The sequence below is a fragment of the Homo sapiens genome, chromosome 14 (assembly GCF_000001405.40).
Source record: "Homo sapiens chromosome 14, GRCh38.p14 Primary Assembly".
NCBI classification, from domain to species: Eukaryota; Metazoa; Chordata; class Mammalia; order Primates; family Hominidae; genus Homo; species Homo sapiens.
Genome location: NC_000014.9, coordinates 74472762 through 74497258, shown reverse-complemented (window position 1 = coordinate 74497258; position 24497 = coordinate 74472762). Strand labels below are relative to the sequence as shown.

Below are 24497 nucleotides of genomic sequence, written 5' to 3'. Positions count from 1 at the left end.
ACCAAGAGACCTTCTCTTTGAAAAACAACATAAAGTCTCCACCAATGGAGACTTCCTGCTGCCACTTCTGGTTTCCCAATGAAGCTTTCTCAGTGTGAAGTAACATGATTTTCCCAAATCCGCCTTTTTTTTTTTTTTTTTTTTTTTTGAGACAGAGTCTCACTCTGCCACCCAGGCTGGAGTCCAGTGGTGCAATCTTGGCTCACTGCAATCTCCACCTCCTGGGTTCAAGTGATTCTCTTGCCTCAGTCTCCCGAGTAGCTGGGATTACAGGTGTCCACCACGCAGTTAATTTTTGTATTTTTAGTAGAGATGGGGTTTCACCATGTTGCCCAGGCTGGTCTCAAACTCCTGACCTCAGGTGATCTGCCTGCTTTGGCCTCCCAAAGTGCTGGGATCACAGGCGTGAGCCACCGTGCCCAGCCCCAAATCTGCCTTTTTCTAAACATAAAATTCCAATTCTCCCATTAACAGTAGATACTCACATATAAGCTGCATTCTAAGGGACTGTTTCTGTCTAGTGCACCACTGTAATTTGATTGATTTAGCAACAAAAGCTGTTCTGCTCGTGCTCAAGAGTTTTAAAACCACAAAATCAATAAATAACCCACAAAAATATTCTTAAAGAATATATTCTAATGTTTAAAATGTAGCAAAATCTTTTTAAGGAGGATGAAAGGACAGGTAGTCTGAACTGAAACCCTATCAGGCGCAGGTACTGGCGGCACTGTCTTGGTCATGTGTGCACACAGATGCTCCCATGGTATGCTGCTTTCTGCCTCCTTCCACCAGCTCTAAGAAATGTGCTCAGGTTTCTGAGTGTCCCCTTCTCTCCTCTAACCGCATGATAGGTTTGTTTTCTCTAAGTCCTAGGTTTTGCCATGTTGGAAATGTATCTAAGTTTCTGTCTCAGATATTTTCTAAACTCTATTTCCATTTTTTTAAATAGTAAATTCTTACTAAATGACCTTAATTCCAATCCAGTGCAGAAATGCAAGTCTTTACTGTAACAAACTTCTAGGCTCCCAAGCAAAAGATGGATTTAACCAGTAACTCTTCCAGAATCAACTTGGTTGTAGTTTCTCCAACATCAGTATTAATAAATCATTCGGTGTGGTGATGGTGGTAGATTTCTTTCACTGTCTGTCCACACAGCTCCACAGTACTCTAACAGGATTATTTCAAGCTCCGAAGCCTATTTAAGTGCCACACCTACACAAGTACTTTAATTCACTAGAATTTGTGATTTTAAAAGCTGTTTGGTGACCCTAAAGCAGAGTTGCCAAGGTCAGCAAATAAAAATATGAGTTAAATTTGAATTTCAAATAGTAATTTTTAGTATATGCAATATTTGAGACATATGCATACTAAAAAATTATTTACCTGAAATTCAAATTTAACTGGGCATCCTACATTTCATCTGGTAACCCAATCTAAAAAAAGGTTCCCAAGAATCTATTACCTATAACAATAAAGGGATCACTTCCTGCTGTGCATGAGACCAGAGCCATTTTACAACAGAAGGCAGGTAAAGCAACATATCCTAAAAAGATTCAGTCATTAAATTGTCACAGAATCTTAAAATGTCTGTATGAGTAGGGAGGCTATTTTTGAAATAATTCACTATCAGTGAGGGTTTGGTCCAAGTTTTCTGGGTAACGGGCTCTTGGTTTTATGACTCATAGCAGATCCACGAGCATGAGAGTAAAATGTATCTGTCCTATCAAACAGGAAGTGGCAAATGGGTTGCATAGACAATAAAGATAAGTCAAGTGGCACATTCTGGCAGGGTGAAGTGAAAAAGAGAACATTTCATTTACTTTTCTCATCCTCTAATAACTGGTGTCCAAGCTACCCAATCTGTGACCCTGATCCACAACACAATAAGAACCTTCTTTAAAATGAAGCTTTTATACATAGCTATCCACATATGTACAAGCAGCTCTTAAGGCAAGAGAAGTTAATTCCAAATTTTAGAGCCATGGAGGCTCTACAGATTATACGGAGTTTCAACCAGTGATTAAATCTGAGGTAACAGCATCTGGAGGCTCAGCCTTAGCACTGAGTGGAGGGAAAAATTAAGCCAAGAGTAAAATCTTCACATTCTGAAAATAATAGTGGCAAAACATAACACTCCTGGACTGCGGGAAATAAAATTGAGAGGGACATGATTAGAAGTAAACTTCTAGAATTCTACTAATTCCAGGTTCTTCAAATTGGTACAACTGGTGACAATCCCAGAGTCACCAGTCATCACATCAAAGTTTGATAGAGAAAGATGACCCACAGGAGCAGCCTTGCTGTGCTTGAGGATTGTTCAACACTTGAAATGAGCTTCGGATCAGTTCTTGGCTGAAGTCCACCTGGGCCCCTTTCACGAAGGCCAAGCTATCAGAGTCAACCACCACTCTTGCCCCACCCTGTTCAAATACCCTGAAAAGACAGGAGGAAGGCATTAAGGAGTATCGCAAACACAAAAAAGACACCCCCTGAGCCCAGAGGTGCACATCCTCTGTTTTCTAAAGTACAGAGGGAGCTTCCCCATTACCTTTAACAGGTGCTGATTTTCTTTGAGGCAAAATGATTCAATGGAATAAATACTGGGAAACGTGTAGGGACTTAAGCCTGGAATCTAGTCCGGCCTGACTTTCTACCGACTACCCAATGGACCTGGGCAGATCAATTTTGCTCCTATAACTTAGTTACTTTGATTCAGAACAACAAACCTTTACTGCATCCTCACTGTGAGACGGGCGGTGTTAACCATCCCAGGTAAACCCTTTAAATTTGGAATAAAAGTGCACCTTAAACTGGAGACACTTTTGTCCCTCCTGTACCTCCTTTGGGGGCCCACCCCTTCCTCCTTGCCTGTCGTCGGGGTTGATAACTGTATCCAGTGAAAATTTGTATTGGAATCCGGAGCATCCACCTCCCTCCACTTGCAGCCTGAGGAATTCTGACCCTTCGGTGATTTCCAAAAGCCTCTGAAATGCAGGAAGGGGGATCAAGAATAGCGGGAAACGGGAGTTAAAGGGCTGAGTGAAGAGCAGTTCCCGCTGCTCCCGCCAATCGCCTGGGTACCGCCGCTCCGCGTCCGGCCTCCTACCTGGACGCAACTGTCTGTGAGGCGGATCTGCCCTTCGCCGGCCTCGGGGCTGGAGGACGACGCCTCCCGACGCGCCTGGGGTCCCAGGGAGGCCGTGAGGAGCCTGCGCGCAAGGGAGGAGGGTGAGCCCGGGAGCAGAAGGGGCACCTTGCAACCCTCGACCTGGAGCGCCTCACGCTAAACCTGGCGACCCCCACCTGGACGGCCTCCCACCAAACCCTCGCATCCCCCACAGGCCTTAGTTTCCCATTTGTCCTAGAGGCGCAGAACCAAACACCCTTTCCAGGTGCCTTTCTAGTCTTGGTACCTGCCCCTCGGCCAGGGAGTGACCGCTCTCTGCGTCGCGGCCGTTAGGGACGACCCCCAGGCGGCAGCCATCTTCCTCCACAAGCTCCGCCCCTCGCGTCTCCCCCGTTTCTCACCCGGGGCCTCGGGAGGCGGAGAGAACGAACAGGAGGCCGGGACTTCACGGAGGCCCCGCCCCCCCAACATGCCTATTGGGTAGTGCGGGAGGAGAAGGTGTCTGATTGGCTAGGAATGCTCCAGACGGCAGCGGCGGGGACGCACCCAGGAAGCCGGAGAGGTGCTCTAAAGGGAAGGAACGGGGCGGGGAGGAGTGAGGCGGGGCGGGGCGGAGGTGGGTCCGGGCGGGTCAGGCCTCTGAGGGGATGGCATGGGCGGAGACTGCAGGCTTCTGGGCCTGAGAGGGCTGGAGCTGGCTTTCCGGAGCCGGGGGCGGGGCGCGGGCGGGCCTCAGCTGTGGTTACTGGTGACAGGTCGCCTGACTGGGCTCCTCCCCGGGCCCGCCCCGACAGGTTTGTCTTGTGACCGCGGGCGGCCGCTGCTTCTTTCCCGAGCTTGGAACTTCGTTATCCGCGATGCGTTTCCTGGCAGCTACATTCCTGCTCCTGGCGCTCAGCACCGCTGCCCAGGCCGAACCGGTGCAGTTCAAGGACTGCGGTGAGCCCCAGGCCCGCCCAAGGTTCCCGCGCCCTCTGTGGAAGGCCCCGCCGGACCCCCGCGCTGAGACCCCTGGGGCTGGGCTGGGCGGATCCCTCGGGCGGCCAGGCTGAGCCTTGGACCCTACCTAACTGGAATGGGCTGGGTCGGGGGAGAAGGCGCCGGCCTCCATGAAACCCGACCGCGCACAACTTTGTTTCTTTCCTTAGAACGCGTGTTTTGGGGTTCCTGGGAACTCCAGGAGGTGGGCCTTTTGCTGAAGTTTCCTAAAGTTTGTAGGGCGGACAACAGAAGGGCTGTATCCAGCTCTGGTGGAGGGGTGGAGCACAGAACTTCTTTTTATTTATGCTTTGTATCTTGGAATCCCGCCTCCCCCTTCCAACTCCTTTTGCTTTTCTTTTAATTTCGTTTTTGCTGACAAGTCAAAAGTCAATTCCCCTTTTTCATCATTTATTGTTACAAATAGGACTTCCTTTGGGCTTTGGAATCTTGTGATTCTTAATCAGTTTTTCCTTGTATAAATCTCATTGTGTCTCTAATCACAGCTTGTGATACATAACTCCCTCTCGCCGCTGTGGTTGGAATCTTTGTTGGAAAATACAACAGGTGGTAGAAATTCTGAGTGCCTTCATTGAGTCGAGTCTATAGAATTGTCGGAACAGAAACTCGAGCAATGTTGTTCAGAGGTGGAGATAGAGAGATAGAACTGTCAATGAAAGAGGCATGAAACTGACTTTGTAAGATCTATGAGTGGAAAGGAAGCACGGAGATCGTATAATCAATCATTGAATTCCAGGGATGTTGGGTAGCCTACCTAAAGTCACGCAGCAGAATGGGGAGCCAGAGTAAGTGTAACCGCCCAAGGGGTTCACCTTGCGCATTGCCTAGACAGAGCGGATTTATCAAGATGGGATTTGCAGTGGCGAAAAGAGTAATTCACGCAGAGCCGGCTGTGGGGGAGGCCGGAGTTTTATTGTTACTCAGATCAGTCTCCCCGAGCATTCGGGGATCAGAGTTTTTAAGGATAATTTGGCGGGTATGGGCTTGGAAAGTGGGGAGTGCTGATTGGTCAGGTTGAAGATAAAATCATAGGAGAGTCGAAGTGAGTTCTTCTTGCTGACCTCTGGGTGGTGTCATTTGCTGCATCGGAATGCAGGATCTGCAAAATATCTCAAGCACTGACCTTAGGTTTTACAATAGTGATATCATTACCAGGAGCAATTTGGGGAGGTTCAGACTCTTACAGCCAGAGGCGGCGTGGCCCCTAAACTCGTAGCTAATTTGTTAGTCCTACAAAGGCAGACCGGTCCCCAGGCAAGAAGGGGTTTTTCAGGAAAGGGCTATTATCCATTTCGTTTCAGAGTTTAAACTATAAATTCCTCTCCAAGACTAGTTCAGCCTACACCCAGGAATGAACAAAGACAGTTTAGAGGTTAGAAGGAAGATGGGTAGGTGAGTCCTGATCTCTTTCACTGTCTTAATTTCCTCAGGATTTTTGCAAAGGCGGTTTCATAAGTTTGCTGCTTTATATCCAGTGCCCAGGTAATAGTAACTGCTCAATGAAATGTGTTGAAAACATAGATGGAAATCTTTTTCCCCTATGTCATAAAAATTCATGTTGAGACAAAAGCAAAGTTGGGGATTAGGGGACAGGATTGATTAAGGAATGGAGTGCTGGCCGATTAACACTTAAATGCTATTCCATTGATTTAGGAGACTGGCACTTGAAAGCTATTATCGCTTCAAATTACTGCCTTTCCCTCCATTAAACTTAGTAGCCAGCGTTTGGATGAAGACACTATTAATTTTAATAACTCATTCCGGCCAGGCACAGTGGCTCACACCTGTAATCCCAGCACTTTGGGAGGCCAAGACGGGCAGATCACGAGGTCAAGAGATTGAGACCATCCTGGCCAACATGGTGAAACCCCATCTCTACTAAAAATACAAAAATTAGCTGGGCATGGTAGTGTGCACCTGTAGTCCCAGCTACTCGGGAGGCTGAGGCAGGAGAATCGCTTGAACCCGGGAGGTGGAGGTTACAGTGAGCCAAGATCACGCCACTGCACTCCAGCCTGGCGACAGAGCAAGACTCCGTCTCAAAAAAATAAAATAAAATAAAATAACTCATTCCATCCTCACAAGCTGTCTTACAGATGAGGAAAGCGAAGCACATAGAGTAACTTGCCCAAGATCTCACACCCAGTAAGTGGTAGGAAACCGTGGGTCTTTGTGAGCCACTTTGGGTTTCCAAAAAAAGAAGGGAAATAAATCCAGAAATTATTCTACTTATTTGAAAAAGCAGGAGTACACCTATGGGAAGAAGCTTTTAAAGGGAAGAAGGGTTTCAGTTACAGATTTATAATTTACTTTTGAATTGGGAAATATGATATAAAGACTTCAGTGCCCACATCAAAGATTTTTGTGTTCCACTCTACACCCACCTTCCCTGGCGTGGGATTTCCTCAAGTGAGAAAGTGGACCAAGCAAACTAATTTTGTAATGTTTGCTGGTTAGAACAGAGGAGTTTGTTCTATTGACACTGGAAGTCTAAGAACCTCTTGTCATCAGAAAACTGGATGAAAGAGCTATAAGTACTACCCTTTACTTACTTCCTACTAGATTATGTGACTCAGCCTTGAAAGAAGCAGGTGGAAGCTGGACATTGAAAGCCTTAACATTAGCACTGATTTTCAATAGATTGTTGATTGAAGTTCGGGATTTCTTTTTTCCCTATTCACCAAAAATGGGTTGGAGTGGAAGAGAGTGTTTCTCAAACTGTTTTGGATGCTTAAGAGTGTGTGCAGTTTAAGAACTTTGCAATGATGGAGAAGCAAGCTGAGGGATAAAGGACTGCAAGGTACTATTTACTGACCTAGCTGGAGCAGTGTTGGTCAGTGTGATGATAGTTAAAGAGACTGTTCCACCCAAGGGTAGGTACAGGCAGCAAAGAACATCTACTTAGATTTCTGAGTTCATATCATACTTTTATAGTACTGAGCTAATCTGGTGACTGACTGCATAGCAGATAATGTACTCTCAACCTGCAGTTTGCCTCTGTCTTCATGCATTCCACTTTTGAGACAGAAAGAGTCCATCCTATTGGCTAGAAACATAATTTCTATCCACAAAGTATATTTGAGGTGAGAGGTCCAGTTTTTGTGTCAGAAGGGAACTTGCTAACCTACCCAGGAGCAGCTATTCTAGATTAAACTCATGGACTAAATCCAGATATGATAATAATAGTAAATATATGTATCACTATGTTCCAAACACTTACCTAAGATCTGTATTTGTGTTAGCTCAGCTACACCATTATCTCCAGAGAGGTAAAGTATCTTGCCTTGAGGCTATACAGTAAGTAGCAGAGATAGTGAGATTTCAAACCCAGGCATCCGGCACCAGAGTCTGCCTCTCAGCAATGATGGCTGAATGGCAGAACTTAACTTACCCTGTTACAGGCACTGTTATCAGGCAGTTCACCTGCATTCTCTCCCATTCAACTGCCCAGTCTCTGGGGCAGGAGGAAATGGGATTTTTAAAGGCTTTATTTAAACCTTTTTTGGTCAAGCATTTATTGTATACAAGTACTTTTGTCCTTGGTTAGACTGAGATTAAAATACATACATACACACACAGACACACACACACACACTTATTTTAAGAACGCAGGTTCCCAAAATCGAGTATACATCTGTAGATTGCAGATGTGTGCTTAAAATCAGTTTTTGAAACTACTTAGAAACAACCTGGACAAGTCAGATGAATCCAATTTCTTTTCTTAAATTTTTTAATTTTGAAAAATATGTATTTGTTTTGAGGATTCCCAGGGATAAATCCTATTTCTGACTCTTTCTAGTACCTTCTTAGGTCTCATCCTTATGTTTTTAACATATGCAGTATTTGCAAGTGTATCATTCCCAGCAGCTATATAGACCTAGGCCAAGTTAATATTTCAGAGGAAATGAAACCCAGACTCAGGTAGCAGTATTCTTCTTTAATGCAGCTGGCACTTCTGCCATCTTGGCTGTGTGAGTCAGTGCTATTTGGAGTTAAGCTTAACTTGTGCCCTAAGCTTGTACTGAAACTATAAAGACCTTAACCTCTGTACTCCTCTTCATCCCCTTGATTCTTGGAAAAAATCCAGATCTTAACAACCTTAGTCAAGATTTAAGGTACTTCCTGTTGTTTTTGGAGCCAAAATATTTCATGACTCATAAGTGGGCCTTAAAGAACAGGACTAAATCATTGAAGAAACTGCAGAAGTGCAGTGAAAATGGTGCAGTTCCCAATTCAGAAGTGGGAGGTAGTTCCTCTCTTAAGGGTCATTCCTAGTTCAGAGATGGTAGGTGGTTTTTCTGTTTAGGGTCACTCCTCTGTTCAGTGTTAAGTGGTAGTTCCTCTTAAATTCCATAGTCTGCTTACTCGGAAGTGAGTAGGCTTCTGGAATCAGTCTTATTTTATTTTATTTTATTTTTTGAGACAGAGTCTTGCTCTGTCACCCAGGCTGGAGTGCAGTGGCGCAATCTCGGCTCACTGCAACCTCTGCCTCCCCAGTTCAAGCGATTCTCCTGCCTCAGCCTCCTGAGTAGCTGGGATTACAGGTGAGCACCACCATACCTGGCTAATTTTTGTATTTTTATTAGAGACGAGGTTTCACCATGTTGGTCAGGCTGGTCTCGAACTCTTAACCTCTTGATCCACCTGCCTTGGCCTCCCAAAGTGCTGGGATTATAGGCATGAGCCACCATGCCCACCCTTGAATCAGCCTAATTTTAAAAGCCAAGACTGATATTCTGACACTTTTCATCGTTTTACCTATACCTTTAATAGTGCTGCTTATTTCTCTAGGAAGTCAAGTTGGGGTGAAAGAAAGAAGGGATTCCAGGAAGACAAAATACTGGGCAAAGGATTTACCAGCAGTTTGGGAGAAAGGGTACAAAATCTGGATAGAAGATACTTCATCACTGAAAATCACAGAGGATATAGGGGTTGAACCTCTACGATAGAAAGAGAATCATGGTGAGGGGCAAAGAGGCGATGCTGAATTAAGAAACCTGAAAAGTTGAGTTTGAGACAGACCTTCATCCAGAGTCCTCAAGTAGTTCTCAGATGCAAATTTCCTTGGGGTGTCCTTCCATTCATCAACATGGCTGCGTATTTAAAGCTTCTTTCAGGTTCCGGTAACAAGGGCTTCCAAGTCAGGCCCACCCATTGAGTCTTCGATCTGCCCCTTCCAGGCAATGTGACCTTGGACAAATCTCAGTAATCTTTGCTCTTCTGGTTTCTAACCCCTAAAACAAGGATGATAAATACCATTGTTGTGAGATGTTTTCTTCAGATGCCTCTGCTTTCCTTCATTCTTGCTAGTCAAGGTACAATTTCCATAGAGTCTAAAAATGAATGATTCAGGAACTAAAAACTCTTGAAGCCAGATTCAAGAAAGGTTCAGTCTGTTTTGGGATCTGGCAGACTTTCCAAGCAATAATAGCAGACTCCCTCAATCAGTGTTTGCTCATGTAGAACTTGAGGTAGAAAGATGTTGTAATTCATTTCTGATCTTCCTCCGCGGAGTTTCAGGCTCTACATTTGCTTTCTAGCTGTTTCCGCATAAAGTGCGGTTTTTGGCCAGGTGCGGTGGCTCATGCCTGTAATCCCAGGACTTTGGGAGGCCAAGGTGGGCAAATTGCTTGAGCCTAGGAGTTTGAGACCAGCCTGGGCAACATGGTGAAACCCTGTCTCTACAAAACACAAAAATTAGCCGGGTGTGGTGGTGCATGCCTATTGTTCTAGCTACTCAGGAGGATGGAGTAGGAGGATCACTTGAGCCTGGGACGGTTGAGGCTGCAGTGAGCTGAGATTGTGCCATTGCATCTAGCCTGGGTGACAGAGTGAGACCCTGTCTCAAAAAAAAAAAACAAAAAAAAACCACAAAAACAAAACAGGGAGGGTGCAATGACTCACGCCTGTAATCCTAGCACTTTGGGAGGCCTAGGCAGGCAGACCACGAGGTCAGGAGATCAAGACCATCCTGGCCAACATAGTGAAACCCTGTCTCTACTAAAATACAAAAACTTAGCCGGGCATGATGGCACTCGCCTGTAGTCCCAGCTACTCAGGAGGCTGAGGCAGGGAATGGTTTGAACCCGGGGGGTGGAGGTTGCAGTGAGCTGAGACTGTGCCACTGCACTCCAACCTGGTGACAGAGCAAGACTCCATCTCAAAAAAAAAAAAAATGTAGTTGTTCCTGTAGTGAACAACTTTCATCAGATTTACATGCTAATCTATATGCTAGAAAAAGAAAGGGAAAATAGGAATATTTTCATCCAAAGGAAGGTTGAAGCAAACGTCTTCAAGGTTTAAGTTTAAACTGTGACCCTTACCATTAAGAATGCGAGATAAGACTCTAGGAATGTTTGGAATTTCTCTGATTGAAGTTTAATTCCTTTAATATGATCATTTATGGATATGGTCTTGATATTATTTAGTTTGACAAATATTAACTTTCTCTTGATCAAAAAACCAACTAGCTTCTTTATCATCTGAATTAAAGGCTATGATTTTAGCAGCAAGATGAATCAAGATTCTGACTTCTAATTGGGCATTATTCTTAAAGATTCCATCCTGGGAAACAGTCCGAGGAGAATGAGTTGACCCTAAATGGGAGAGCAGAGCACCTTCCCATTAGGTGGTGGGCAGCCTAGCTGGCTTATTTCTCCTCCTATTCTCCTATTCCAATTCATTTTTCTTTTGCAGGTTCTGTGGATGGAGTTATAAAGGAAGTGAATGTGAGCCCATGCCCCACCCAACCCTGCCAGCTGAGCAAAGGACAGTCTTACAGCGTCAATGTCACCTTCACCAGCAGTGCGTAAAAGTGGCTCTTAACTCAAATTCATGTTACAGCATAACCTAAATATCAAGTGTTGGAATAAGCATGGGAATGGAGGGGAGGGGAATTGGCAGTCATGAATTTTATGATTTCTTTTGCACCTCATGCAAAGCTAGGGTTCACTGTGCCCTTGGACACCCTTCTCATGCAGGGTCCATGGCTCCCAGACTCCCTTTAAGCAAACAGGGAGATGTCCATGTGTTCACAGGTTAGAGAAGACAGCTTGGCTTTTCTGTCTTGACCCATATTGCATAGTAGGCTATGATGGGAATGTCAGCTCTGTTTAGCTACAGACTGCAGAGTATTAGTATGGACCCCAATTCTTTAAGCTTTGGAACTCCTCCAAAATGTTGTTTTAAGCAGTAATGCCTTTCAGCTATTAAGTCTACATCCCACCTGAAAATAAAGGTGCAACTAATACTTAACAGCCTCCTTAAGATTTAGGGAACCCACTGGGGACCCAAGAAATAGCCAAGAAATCTGAGCTTTCTTCTCCAATATTCAAGAAATATCATTGGAACTTTTTGCTTTCTTGTACCACATCACTTTGAGATTTTTAAGAATCTAGACAAATGTAAAATCTTTTATTACTAAGCAGGGCATGTTCCTTGAATCTTTTCCTCATTTTCTGTCCTGTGAAACTAGACTAGACAGTCTAATAAGAAACCTCAAAGTTCCTGTCATCTTTTGTTCATAAGCCTAAAGACAGCTCTAAGTACTAGCTCCCTGTTTCCTCTCTGGACTATACCCTGGCCTCTCTATTGTTCCAAACCAAAAAAAAAAGCCTTCTGAACAAGTCATCCCCAACCCAGACAGAAGGAAAGAAACAGAACCAATTTTCTGGGTCTCCAAAATACCCTAATAACTCATAAGTCTGATTGCCCTCATTTTTTAATACCTTTATTCCTCCTGGCCATCTTGTGATGTGGAGGGTAAAGTTTATAAAGAATTGCATGTCTTTCTAATCTTACCCAATTTCTTTTTTTTTTTTTTTTTTTTTTTTTTTTTTGTGACAGAGTCTCGCTCTGTCACCCAGGCTGGAGTGCAGTGGCGCAATCTCAGCACACTGCAACCTCCGCCTCCTGGGCTCAAGCGATTCTCCCGCCTCAGCCTCTTGAGTAGCTGAGATGACAGGCATGCGCCACCACGCCCGGCTAATTTTTGTAGTTTTAGTAGAGACAGGGTTTTTCCATGTTGGCCAGGCTGGTCTCAAACTCCTGACCTCAGATGATCCACCCGCCTCAGCCTCCCAAAGTGCTGGGATTACAGGTGGGAGCTACTGTGATCCAGCCTAATCTTACCCTGCTAAAGGGTTACCTCTTTCACTGTTGTTACAGACCATGACATTTAAGACACACAATATACTTGGACAGAAGCTGATATAAATAGCAAACAGAAAGTTTACTGCCAAAAATCAGTTGCCTTGTTAGATAAGGTTGTTTATCCAGGTATCTCTGATTCTCCTAAGAAACTGTGAAGGGCCATGAAGAGCAAGGTTAAGAGCAAAGAAAACTTCTGCTGATTGTTTTTTTTTTTTTTTTTTTTTTTGCATAATTGTGTTTGGAGTGAATGCTTGCACTGTGCTAGTACCAAGCACCACTATCAAGAGAAATAGACCCTAGGAATGCTGTTGCTTGGGATTATTTCTGAATTTTTGATTTAGAGTTTGAAAATAGGTTATTTTCTTTGCCATCTGATTCTCTTTTTTTCTCTTAGATATTCAGTCTAAAAGCAGCAAGGCCGTGGTGCATGGCATCCTGATGGGCGTCCCAGTTCCCTTTCCCATTCCTGAGCCTGATGGTTGTAAGAGTGGAATTAACTGCCCTATCCAAAAAGACAAGACCTATAGCTACCTGAATAAACTACCAGTGAAAAGCGAATATCCCTCTGTAAGTGATACCATTATTGAGGACACGGGAGGCCTTGGGACTGGATTAGAGTTCTGAGGGCAGTGGGCAAGAAGCAGAGATGGGGGTAAAGGGCCCCTTATCTCTATGATGAAGAAGAAGCCCGAGGGAAAGGAGATAGGTGCGGTGTTAGGCATCAGGAGGTAGGGCAGGTCTTTTTCTCTGTGTCTCTTCATTCTTTCACTATGACCTGATGGTTAGCCTGGGCCTAATGATGCCATTTGTTTTTTAATATACTAAAATTTAATCATACATAAGAACTGTAATTTAATCTGACAGTAAAACACAAGAAGCAATATTAGAGTTGGTTTAGTATATTGTATATTTTAGCTTTGAAAGTCGTAGAAATCAGTTACCCCAGTTTTTTTCCTATAAAAGACCCATTTTTCCAAAGCATTATGCACAATTTCAATTAGAATATAATGACAGAGGATATTCCATAATTTTTAAAATATAAAATGAGGTAATTGATTCAAAAAAGTTATCTACTGCAATATCAATATCATTACAGATATAAAGTATGATGGTTCAACTTTTTAGTGCTTGATAGGGAGGAATCATGATAAAAAGGTCAATATGAAATCATTTGATTATAGTAGCAATATCTAACATTTGAAATGCATCCATGCTCTTTTGTATAATCATATTAGAGTCAAGTATATTTTCACATCTGTTATGTCTTATTTTCCAAGAGATATACACAGAGCAGTTTTTTTTCTCCAGGGAACTTATACAAACCAATATAAGATCTAAATTCTTCACATAATGTATAAAACAGGAGAAGCCTCTTCAAATTTATTTTTTGAAGTCTGGAATGCTGGCACTTTCCAATTAGGCAATAGTTCTTCATTCCTGTAACCTAGCTCAGAGCTGCTGCTGACTATGGGCCTAGAGCAGCAGACATGATTTCTTTTTAGGCTGTTTCTTTTCCACTGGTGTTTTTCTATTTATCTGTCTGACCAGGTCATAAAATATTTCATTAACATTGACCTTTGACTTTGCAGATTATTCTAAAATGGCACAGTTCCATCACTGTCATGCTAAATTCTGGCCCTGTTCTTTGCCAACTACTCACTCATCTTCCAGGTCACATTTATTGCCAACCAAAATCATTGGAACATCTTCTGTGTCCTTAACCAGTAAAATCTGTTCCCTCAGGTCCTGTAAGTCAAACGTGGACTGAATATACTAGTGCAAAACCTTGGCCATTCTTCATATACAAATCCCTCATTGCTGTAAATTGCCCTGTGCCTGCAGTATCTAGGATTTTAAGCATACACTGTTGGCAGTTGACTTCAACTTGCTTTCTGTAGGAATCTTCTATCGTTGGGTCATATTTTTCAACAAAAATTCCCTGAACAAACTGAACCATCAGAGCAGACTGCCCAACACCTCCTGAACCAAGGACCACTAGCTCACCCGTGATGTGGTCTGTTTAAATACTGATGATTCCCCCAGTCTGGCACCTCCTCCACCTCCTCCTCCCTCCTCCCTCCTCCCTCCTCCCTCCTCCCAGCTGCGGCTCCTGCTTCGGCTCTGCACAGCAACGGCTGATGCCATTTTTATATACAATATTTCACTTGGATCTCATGACCATCCTATGTAGAGGTGATATTATCTCTATTTTACAGCTGAAGAAATTTGAGCCTCTGAAGTTATGCAATATGAACAGAGTCCACTCCACTAAGAAGCAGTGGAGCCCAGGTTTTGAGCTGGGTCTTATAACTCCAAAGCCTGTGCAATGTTAAAAGATTTTAGCCAGGTACCAAATAATTAAAGATCCAAGTTGTCTTAACATTGTCATCAGAAAATCCTGGTTTCTCCATTAATCTCTTAACAAAACAAGAGAGCAGTAGTTTGTTAGCTCCATGGCAGAGAGGTAGCTTTTTCCAGCCTTCTTTCTGCCCTCCAATCCCCACCTTCACCTCTGACCCATCCCTGCTGCACCTACCTCTTTTTCTACCAAGCACTCATAAGGTAGATCCTGCTGCAGTGGACCTGTATTAAAGATATGTATCTTGATAAGAATGGAGGAAATAGAGGGATGGCCTTTTTCCATGAAGAAAAAGAGCCGCATTTCTTGAAATCAAGTAGAACTCAGGAGCAATATCTGGCCATTTATTTTCTAGGAAAGGTAAGTAATTAAAGAACATTCTAAAGAGACTCAAATATAGGATGTCTGTGCTTAAGGGCTGTTGGAGACCTTAGAGGTCAGGGACAGATTAGTAGATGAATATCCACATAACCATGGGCATGTCTGAACCTCAGTTACGTATGCAGTGACTAGTCAGAGCCTGATACGTAGTAGGTACTTAATGTATGGTAGTTATTGTCTGTTAAATGAGTTACATTTAATTTGAAAAATAGCTCAAACTGCTTAAGCACTAAATGAAGCAGTAGTTAATGTATACTAGTCTGGAAAAACTCACAAGGCAAGTTTCAAGAACCTGAATATCAGTGCCACTCACATGTTCCATTGTGAAGAAACATTAGAGTACAAAAGAGAGGTAGTAACTAGTGACAAGTAAGCTAATGTCCACATAAGAAAGGACCTGCAGAGTGTCAGTGAGTTATCAAGAATTGGAAGGGACCACTCACGTGATATGAGTGTAACAAGTCAAGGCAGGGATTTCTGATGAAGTACATTATTAGAAAGCAGTTTAAGGGCGTTAACTGAAAGTATATTGCTACAAAAGGTTGTCATCCTTGAAATTATTCATACAGCTACAGACTTCTCTAGGCCATCTTTTGTGCTTTGACATTTCCATTTCTAGCTAACAAGAACGTTTCCTTATACCTAAGAATCTAAATTTTTTTTACTCTCTGCTCTTCATGGTTACATTGGGAAAAAGCTGGATCAGATTGCCAAATACATGAGAAATTGCTTAAATGTGAAATTATTCATGTAAGCCTTCATGTGTTAGTCCATTTGCCTTGTTGTAAAGGAATACCTAAGACTGGGTAACTTGAAAAGAGGTTTGATCAGCTCACGGTTCAGCAAGCTGTACCTGAAGCATAGTGCCACCACCTGCTTCTGGTGAGGCTTCAGGAAGCTTACTGTTAGGACAGAAGGCAAAGGGGAGCCAGCGTGTCACATGGCCAGCACTAAAGCAAGAAAGAGAAGGGGGAGGCCCCAGACTCTTTTAAACAGCCAGATCTCATGTGAAGTCAGTGAGAACTCACTCATCACCAAGGGGACGGTGCTAAGCCGTTCATGAGGGATCTTCCTCCATGATCCAATACTTCCCACCAGGCCCACCTCCAACATTGGAGGTCACATGTCAACATGAAATTTCAAAGGGACAAATAACCAAACCGTATCACTTCATTTATATGCCATTGATCTAAGAGAGAAGAGAATGCTTTAGAAATTACATTTGATAAATTAACCAAGTTAGTATGTGGTGCTGCTAGCATCAAATCACAAGTATAACTTTGTTCACTCTCTTAAGGCTGTAAGCTGTGCCCACATGCTAAGCAGCCCTCATGATTTAAGAAAAAAAGTATGAGGAGTTAGGAAGTTTGCTACTGTACATCTAGGATTCATAGTTAAACCAATTATGGATAGAAGTCAGGTCCTATTTTCATTTTTCTCAATTATTTTTCTCTTTCTCCAGATAAAACTGGTGGTGGAGTGGCAACTTCAGGATGACAAAAACCAAAGTCTCTTCTGCTGGGAAATCCCAGTACAGATCGTAAGTCTATCTGGGGGTGAGAGGGCATGGGTGGAGGGAAGAAAGTGGAGGAGAAATCAGACTGAAACTAAATCAGTGCCATAAGATAAAAGGAATTTCAAGACTGCTGTTTTATGCCTCTCAACCTCTAAAAGCATCTGAGACCCTATTTCCTGAGAGCTCAGAACTGTTGCCTTTGTAATATCCTTTGTTAAAAAAAAAAAAGGTTGAAGGAAAGAAGAGAGAGTGAGACTGTAGAGATTGATTTAACTGTCTTCATTGGTTTTTTTCTGTCGGAGTAAGGAAGGTCCAGCCAGACAGGACCTGAAGGAGGTTGCTTAGGAATGTCTGATAACTTGCCCTAGGGTTATTGCCCTGACAGTGGAGGAAAGGTTCCAAACCACTTCCACTGAGCTGGGACATTACATCCACAGGTTTCTCATCTCTAAGTGCCTCATTGAGTTCGGTGCATCTGGCCAATGAGTCTGCTGAGACTCTTGACAGCACCTCCAGCTCTGCTGCTTCAACAACAGTGACTTGCTCTCCAATGGTATCCAGTGATTCGTTGAAGAGGAGGTGCTCTGTAGCAGAAACTGAGCTCCGGGTGGCTGGTTCTCAGTGGTTGTCTCATGTCTCTTTTTCTGTCTTAGGTGGTTTCATTAAATGCAGCACTTGGTTAGCAGATGTTTAATTTTTTTTTTAACAACATTAACTTGTGGCCTCTTTCTACACCTGGAAATTTACTCTTGAATAAATAAAAACTCGTTTGTCTTGTCTTCTGCATGTGGGCTGTGGTCTTCTCCTGCTCCTTTCAGGGTACATTCTGCTAGAACCATGGAAGGCAGGCCCCCAGTTCCGTGGTCCCAGAGTGCACTGAAGACATGACTTTTTCAGAAACTCTTTTTCCTCCTTTTTGTCCAGTAAGACCATATCTATTTTATATAAAATGGCCTTGTTTTGCTTTATTTGACACAATCTTATACCACCAAGCATGCTCGAAAGAAGCAGTGAAAGTAAAAATCACCTAGTTGAATAATAACGCCTGAAAGGTTGAAGGAACTGAATTTGGTGGGGAGGGCAGGTAGGGGTTAGGGATTACAGGTTAGGATGAGGCATGGTGATCTTTTGGGAACACTGCTGTGAAGAAAGCCTAGAAGCTTAAAAATGAAATGTGAAGTTGTAGCAAGTAATGGCTAAATTAATTAAATCTTGGAGTTTCCTATCTTAAAGTACAAGTATAATCATGGGCATATATTTTGCCACCTATTTTGAGTCAGTATACTAGCAGTCAGCTCTTAGGTGGTACAGGGATTACAACCCCATTCACAATTGAGTTGAATAACATGGACCTTAGGTCATCCATTGTTAGGGCAAAAGGAAGGAACATTCATACAAAGTGCTTGTGAGCAAGTGATTGATTTGATCCAGTTCTTTTCATCCCACTAATTTCACTAGACCCTTGGATTTCTTTGGTCTGTGAGTTTCCCAGGAAAACCACCAGGGGACAGTGATGGATCAGGAATACAGTTATCAACAGCCAAGCTTTCCTAGTTAATGCTAGGAGCCAGTCAACCAGTGTACTTTTTACCTAAGATCTTTTGTGTATCCTGCCACATTGAGTCTAGAGTGACAGTCCACCTTGTCTCCCATACCAGACTCTAGATGTATCAGAATTGTGTGAATTCCTGAGGCTGTTAACTGTTGTGCGGGTCTCTGGCTTCGGACTGCCTATGGTTGAATCCTGGCACCAACAATTAACAGGACTACCAGTGTGATCTTGAAATCACTTCATCTCTCTGTGTGTCAGTCTCCTTATCTGTTAAATAGGACTAATAATAATAGGGCTGTGAAGACTAAATGAGATGAGGCATGTAAAACACTTAGAATGACCCTGGCTATAGTATATACTCTCTAAATGTTAGCTGTCACTCTGGGAGACAGACATTCTTCTTTGTCTACAAATAGCAGGAAAATTAGAAGGTTCAATCTGAGATTTGATGATGTCTCCTCAGAAGGATGAGGCTATCCTCTGTGCACAAGAACTTTCTGAAAGGCCTGGAAAAGCTCAATTCTCATGTGTCCACTGTCTCCCTATTCCCAGAAGATTTCTCATGCCATTTAGCTCCTTTGAAGTTAACAGCTACCCACCCTGCATACTCCTCTGCCCTTGTGTTAAAAGAAGACAGGACTCACAATACCATGCAAAATGAGTACTTGCCTCTAGCTAGGAACAGTGCCTACTTCAGGGAGAATTGATTTTGATACAGCTGACTAGTTTGAGTGTTAAACTATTTTGGAAATAATTTACATATCTAAGTTCTAAAATATATTTTTCTTTCCTCCACTTATTCTTCAAATTTGAAACAATGTTTTAATACTGTATATCTTTCATTGTTTATAACTTGCATTCTTTGTGAAAATTTGTTCTTAGGGACAAAAAAATTCTTAATCTTTTTATGTGTAAAGCAGGAACAGACAGATAATACATAAACAGATACATATTATATCTGCGGTATTAAAATTTGGTGGGGTGGTCGATTAGGATTAAAAGGTCCATAAAAGCTCCTGTAAGGAGTGATAATGAAAAGGGTGGGGAAGCACTAAAGACAAAGAGTATAAGTAGATATTTCAGAAATCGAAATTAAAAAGTATTTCGGCTAGTTTATACCCTTCCATCAGAGCAAAAGGGGAACACAACAGCTTGTGACTGTTTGCCAGCCATCGCGGGGCTACATGAAGCCTGCAGCCGTGAGCTAGGTAGGGCTCCCGTGGGGGGATTAGTTTGAAAGGTCGTCTTCTACAGACAGTTCACAGACGCCCCCGTGAGTCATTAAAACATTGAGAAGCACTGAATCTTAGGTATATCAAAAAGGTCATCCTCTTTCCAATGACCGTCTCATGCTTTTCTAGTCCACGGAGCAGGTTTTGGAGGCTCAGCTCTTACATGAATTCCAGGACAGATAAATCCCAGATTCTAATTGTTGAAATAATAATGAGGGGCACCCCTGCTTATAGAATAAAGGGAACCCAACACCTCATATCTCCAGTTTGGGAAAAGGTTAAATATGAAGACTAGTATTCAGTCAAATCTTCATACTAATAAAAAGCAACAAGCATGGAGTAATTTTAAATCCTGCATATTTGGTTTTTAAATCTTAGTTGACTTTTTTTAAAAGGAACAGAGTGATCTTTTTTTTTTTTAACACAAAGTCTTTCAGAAAAGAAACAGGGTGATCTTGATTATGCTTTGGAAAGGTTGATAAAAACAGCTTGTTCTCTGAGAACACCCTCCAGACATAGGAAGAGTGGCTTGAAATAGGTGAGGTCAACTAAGAGAAAATGATCTGGGATCAGCCATTCACTTCAGATAATCCAAAAAGCAATGGTTAAATGGGTTGGTACAAGGACAGGGTTACAGTATATAAGAAAAGCATTAGCACAGAAAAAGGAGTCGTGTAAGAAAGTCGCCAAGGTGAAAGTCACGTTAAACAAGTGTTTTTCCCAAGGAAGAGACAGAACAGGAAATAGAGGTTGGGGTATGCCTTATTTAAAGGCCTGGAACACTCAGGCGAGGGTGTGTGTGTGTGTGTGTGTGTGTGTGTGTTGGGAATGGGGCTGGGGGGAGACAGGGTTGTGTGTGTGTGTGTGTGTGTGTGTGTGTGTGTGTGTGTGTGTGTGTGTGTTGGGAATGGGGCTGGGGGGAGACAGGGTTGAGTGACCCAAAGTAGAAAGTGGCTCTGGATCTCCACAGATGTTGCCTGAAAGTCTTTGAAGGATTTGAGTCATTTTGGGTGGTTGTGTCTTTTTCTCTGAAGAGAATTCCTCAGCCTATCCCTAGATTCTAAACTGAATCCGATTCACTTACAGCTGTCAGTTGACTAGCAACTAAATGGTCTGGGTGTTGGTTGCCATGGAAACAGCTAAAAGGCCCATTGCTATGGGAACCTACCAGGCTCTCCAAACCAGGGGTTTGGTTCCTAAAAAGGGGTGGAGGGGAGGGTGGAGACCAGGAGATGGCCTGCATAGGTGGCTCAAGGGTCCTGGAAGAGGGTGGGCAATGTGGGTGAGTGGATCCGGCCAGCTCCTCTCGACTGGGGCAGAAGAACAGTGACCTCTTCTACTTTCTGCAGATGTTCCCATGCCTGTTCTCTGCTCACTGCCCAATGCTAGCCACAGAGCACAGGTGTTTGCAGTTGCAAATGGAGACTAAGAGCCTGAGATTCTGGAGCAGACGTGGCATGTCAGTGTGGCTCCCCTCACCTGCAGGGGCTTGGAGAAGGACGGCTCCCTTCTAGCAGGCCGTCCTCCACAAATCATATGTCCCAGATAAGCAGCCAGCAGGCAGAAAGATCAGCTTAGCTCTGACTGCCAGTGGGTAAGGCCAAGAAGGAGCCTGGCAGACAAATGGATGGCTGCTGGCCTTGAACATGGCAGAGCTGCTGGGTGTGCCAGATCAAAAAGCAGAGAGCAGGCCAGCAGCAGCAGACTGTTCTCAGCGCTGGAGAAATGCATTGCTCTGCCCACTACACCCTCAACCATCCATATGCCTCTGCCACAAAGGGGGATACTGCAAATGGATCAACATAGGAAAGATGAGGTTTGATGGAGATTCTCAGTGTACACACACAATGCTTGTAAGATTCTTTTCTGTTTTGCAATCAAAGTAACTCTCACATTAGTGTTTAGTGGTAAGATGATTTTTTTACTAAAACAAAGAGAAAACATCCCAGAAGCTCTTCCATTAACCACTGTTAATGTGTAATGTACAAATTGAAGGGATTGGACTAATCACTAAAGCCTCTGTCAGGACTAACAGCTTATGATGCATTGAGACGCTGAAAGGAAGTTGAAGAACCACTGGCAAATGGACACAGATGAATCGTTTTCTAGTTACTCATATTGTGAGGGCGGGGAAAATCTCTGAACTCCAGAGAGGCTTAGGATGGAGACTAAGGCCAAGACATTTGCTTTAGAGACCATTTCAGATATGTTGGGCCCAGGAGACTTTCACTTGGTTCTGCAGAATTCTGAGATTTGTGATGCTGATTTTTTTTTCTCCTAATCTTGCCTTTTTCCTGCCTGGAATTGTTAGTCTCAGACCCTCCCAGGAGCTTCAGAGTCTAAGAGCCTGGCACCAGAGAAAGAGAGAGAGAGAGATGCCACTAGAACTTGGACTGCTCCACAGGACAGTTGAGCACTTCCCCAGAATCTGTGGGGAGGTTTTCACTTTTGGAAGCAGTAGTTGTTTACAGATTTCTGTAACATTTAAAATGTTAAATACAAGCTGGGTTTATATCTCACCTCCAACTTTTTCCAGCTGCTTGACTTTTGATGAGTTCCTTAACCTCTTAGGGCCTTAATTTCCTCAGCTGTAAAACAGGATGATAAGAATATACCCACCTCAGGTGGTTCTAATGATGACATGAGATGGGGGATGCAAAGTGCTCAGTGCAGTACCTGACGCATAATAAGTAGCTGAGAAAGGTCGTTAGTATTATTATTATCATCCTAGATAAAAAAGGAAGGTTGCAGCCATGGAAACTGCTCAGTGGCCTAGAATCATAGGCATTTGCCATGCATTTGTCTTCCAAATTTAATTCCAGGTGCCTTTCAAGACTGATGGCCTCTCTGATGCCACACTCTGGTTTGCCTTCATTAAGCCAGATTCTAACCCTCTCTTTTTAAGACACTTAACCACATTCTTTTTCATGTATGATTTTTATGTGTCTGCTTACCTTCCTACTAGACTGTAAACATCTTGAGAATAGAGACTACCCTTTCATCTTTCAATAAATGCCTAGACCTCAGCAATTGTTTAATGAATTTTTTTAATAGGGAAAAATGTCTTTTTTCTGTAGGTCTTGGATCAGACCATTTAACCCTATAGCAGCCTTGTCTCCAAAGGGAAGAAAAGAGTAACAGTGGGCTAGGTTTCATTCTCCTGAAGAAGGGCACGGCATTGCCTCATCCTGAGTGGGCAGCTCCAGAGCAGGGCCAGGGCTCACATCTTCTAGAAGCCAGCTGTCATCTGTCTGTAAGATTCATTGACACCAGCTTGTCTCCAGCCTGAAGGCTCCCTGGCCCTGGGCTCAGGCAGAAATGGCTCCTCCTCCCCTCCTGGCTGCTGTCTGTCTTCAGTTCAGCCTGCCTCTCCCTCCTGATTGCTCTGGCTGAAGCAAGAAGCCATGAAGATGGCTCTGTAGCTGCAAGTTGCATCAGGTTGCCTCTGGGAGAAAGAGAGAAAGCAGACCCGGCTTATGCAACTCTCTCTCCCCATACACTGAATCTCTGAAGTTCCTGGCCAACCCCCTCAGCTTCCCACCAGAGTTTGCCAAGGCTTGGCTTGGCAGGAACAAGGCCCAAAGAGCTACACAGAGCATCTCCCAGACAGTGGCCACTGAGAACCATCTCCTGTCAAGGTGGGTAACAGAGAAATTTCTGGGGTAGGGAGTAAGGCAGGGGAATGTAGGAGAAAAAGCCTCCAGGCCTGACTGACTTGCCATGGGACCATGGATCAACCATTTAACCTCTTTCAGCTAAATACCTCATAGAGGTGTTGTGTAGACAAAAGGAAACAATGGATGTGCATGTGTAGCTTGGAAATACAAAGCCTATTCATACTGGGAATATTAATATCATAGGCTAGTGCAGAGGACTAGCAGTTAATCCGTTGGATTTTCCTACTTAGATCCCATTGGCTTGATGAGCTGTCTGGGCACCCTCACAGAAAACCTCACAAGGAAAACAAGGTCCCAGATTTGGTCACCAGAAGAACAAGGTTGAGACTGACTCAGTGAATGCCTTTCTTTGACTGCAAAACAGGACTGTAATGCAGCTGGCTCTCCTGAAATGTTGGCTTCTAGTTCCGAGGGTATAGGAGGCCTAGGCAGCTGTACACTTGTGTCATCCTGATCATCATGAAGTCTGGTGGAATTTATATGGACAGGACAGTATGCATTCCTTCAACCAATACTTACTGAGCACCTATTATGTGCCAGGCACTGTGCTGGGCACTGGGAATGAAAAAATGAGTAGGGCATGGTCCTTGCCTTCAAGGAGCTTAGAGTCTAATGAGAGAAGCTAGCAGCAAACCATCACTGCAATCCAGTGGGACAAAGCCATGATAGTCACATGTACAGAATGCCATGGCAGCAAAAAGGAAGAGTACTGAGGTGATTTGCTCTGGAAGAGGCAGAGCCAGGTCAGGCCTCTGCTTAGAAAGTGGCTGGAAATGGAGACACTTAATCATGTACTAGGTCTTTATTTATCCATCATTCATTCAGCCAACATATCTTCTGAGATTTTTTGGAGTATTTATATATTTATTTATTTATTTTTGAGATGGAGTCTCACTCTGTCGCCCAGGCTAGAGTGCAGTGGCATGATCTCATCTCACTGCAACCTCCGCCTTCCGAGTTCAAGTGATTCTCCTGCCTCAGCCTCGTGAGTAGCTAGGATTACAGGCGCCTGCCACCACACCCTGCTAATTTTTGCCTTTCAGTAGAGACGGGGTATCACTATATTGGCCAGGCTAGTCTTAAACTCCTGACATCAAGTGATCCATCCACCCGCCTCGGGCTCCCAAAGTGCTGAGATTACAAGCATGAGCCACCGCGCCCAGCCTGGAGTATTTCTTACGGTGAATTTACCTCCTCCTGCATTACTGGTCTTGGTTAATTTGGTTTTATTTAAAGTTCCTCCTACTTAATTTACTCTGGACCTGAGTAAGCATACTTGGTGATGTCCCGACCCTAGTGTATACCCAGCTGTCATGATCTATTTGGATTTTAGAATTCCGCCCCCCTCCTCTGACTCTCCAGCCCACATTACACCACTTCTTTCTCTGTCTTTGCTCTAGCCACATCAGTCTCCTTTCAATTCCTCAAATTGGCTGTACTTCCTTCCTCCAGCCACAGGACTCTTACACATGCTGCTCTGCTGCCTGAAATGCTGCCCCACAA

The 24497-nt window shown here is 43.6% G+C and overlaps 3 protein-coding genes, 1 non-coding gene and 1 pseudogene across 7 annotated transcripts in view, besides 4 other annotated features; 3 read left to right on the top strand and 2 right to left on the bottom strand.

The window, feature by feature from the left end:
- ISCA2 (iron-sulfur cluster assembly 2) lies at positions 153–3494 on the bottom strand. Of its 2 annotated transcripts, NM_194279.4 has the most exons (4): positions 3414–3494; positions 3107–3209; positions 2869–2984; positions 153–2433 (listed from the first exon to the last, which is right to left on the bottom strand). In NM_194279.4, exons 1-4 carry the CDS (start codon positions 3482–3484, stop codon positions 2259–2261), a joined length of 465 nt encoding a protein of 154 aa, NP_919255.2. In that variant the 5' UTR covers positions 3485–3494; the 3' UTR covers positions 153–2258. The 2 variants fall into 2 exon arrangements, with proteins under 2 accessions (NP_919255.2, NP_001258936.1); NM_001272007.2 differs by lacking the exon at positions 2869–2984.
- Positions 3412–3491: an enhancer, noted in NCBI's record as "active region_8728". NCBI's record gives its function as "activates an Ori minimal core promoter by ATAC-STARR-seq in GM12878 lymphoblastoid cells {active_cell/tissue: GM12878}" and the evidence as "EXISTENCE:reporter gene assay evidence [ECO:0000049][PMID:35858748]".
- Positions 3692–3971: a silencer, noted in NCBI's record as "silent region_5931". NCBI's record gives its function as "represses an Ori minimal core promoter by ATAC-STARR-seq in GM12878 lymphoblastoid cells {active_cell/tissue: GM12878}" and the evidence as "EXISTENCE:reporter gene assay evidence [ECO:0000049][PMID:35858748]".
- Positions 3747–17324, top strand: NPC2 (NPC intracellular cholesterol transporter 2). Of its 3 annotated transcripts, NM_006432.5 has the most exons (5): positions 3954–4066; positions 10823–10930; positions 12672–12844; positions 16480–16557; positions 16971–17319. In NM_006432.5, the coding sequence occupies exons 1-5, from the start codon at positions 3985–3987 to the stop codon at positions 16983–16985; spliced, it is 456 nt and encodes a 151-aa protein (NP_006423.1). In that variant the 5' UTR covers positions 3954–3984; the 3' UTR covers positions 16986–17319. The 3 variants fall into 3 exon arrangements, with proteins under 3 accessions (NP_001350617.1, NP_006423.1, NP_001362369.1); NM_001363688.1 differs by having other exon boundaries at positions 3747–4066; positions 16480–17324; NM_001375440.1 differs by lacking the exon at positions 16480–16557.
- Positions 4142–4201: a silencer, noted in NCBI's record as "silent region_5930". NCBI's record gives its function as "represses an Ori minimal core promoter by ATAC-STARR-seq in GM12878 lymphoblastoid cells {active_cell/tissue: GM12878}" and the evidence as "EXISTENCE:reporter gene assay evidence [ECO:0000049][PMID:35858748]".
- Positions 8270–9469: an enhancer, noted in NCBI's record as "CDK7 strongly-dependent group 2 enhancer chr14:74954493-74955692 (GRCh37/hg19 assembly coordinates)". NCBI's record gives its function as "activates an origin of replication core promoter dependent on BRD2, BRD4, P300/CBP, MED14 and CDK7 cofactors, with strong dependence on CDK7, by STARR-seq in HCT116 cells {active_cell/tissue: HCT116}" and the evidence as "EXISTENCE:reporter gene assay evidence [ECO:0000049][PMID:35650434]".
- Positions 13093–14412, bottom strand: RAP1AP (RAP1A, member of RAS oncogene family pseudogene; annotated as a pseudogene).
- MIR4709 (microRNA 4709) lies at positions 17055–17126 on the top strand. Its single transcript, NR_039858.1, has one exon. It is a non-coding gene; the product is annotated as a microRNA 4709 (primary transcript).
- The window catches only part of SYNDIG1L (synapse differentiation inducing 1 like), a 74245-nt gene continuing 66863 nt past the window's right edge, over positions 17116–24497 (top strand). Inside the window, exon 1 of the mRNA XM_017021600.2 lies at positions 17116–22955. The gene's annotated coding sequence lies outside the window, so the exon portion shown is untranslated. The remainder of the gene's footprint in view (positions 22956–24497) is intronic.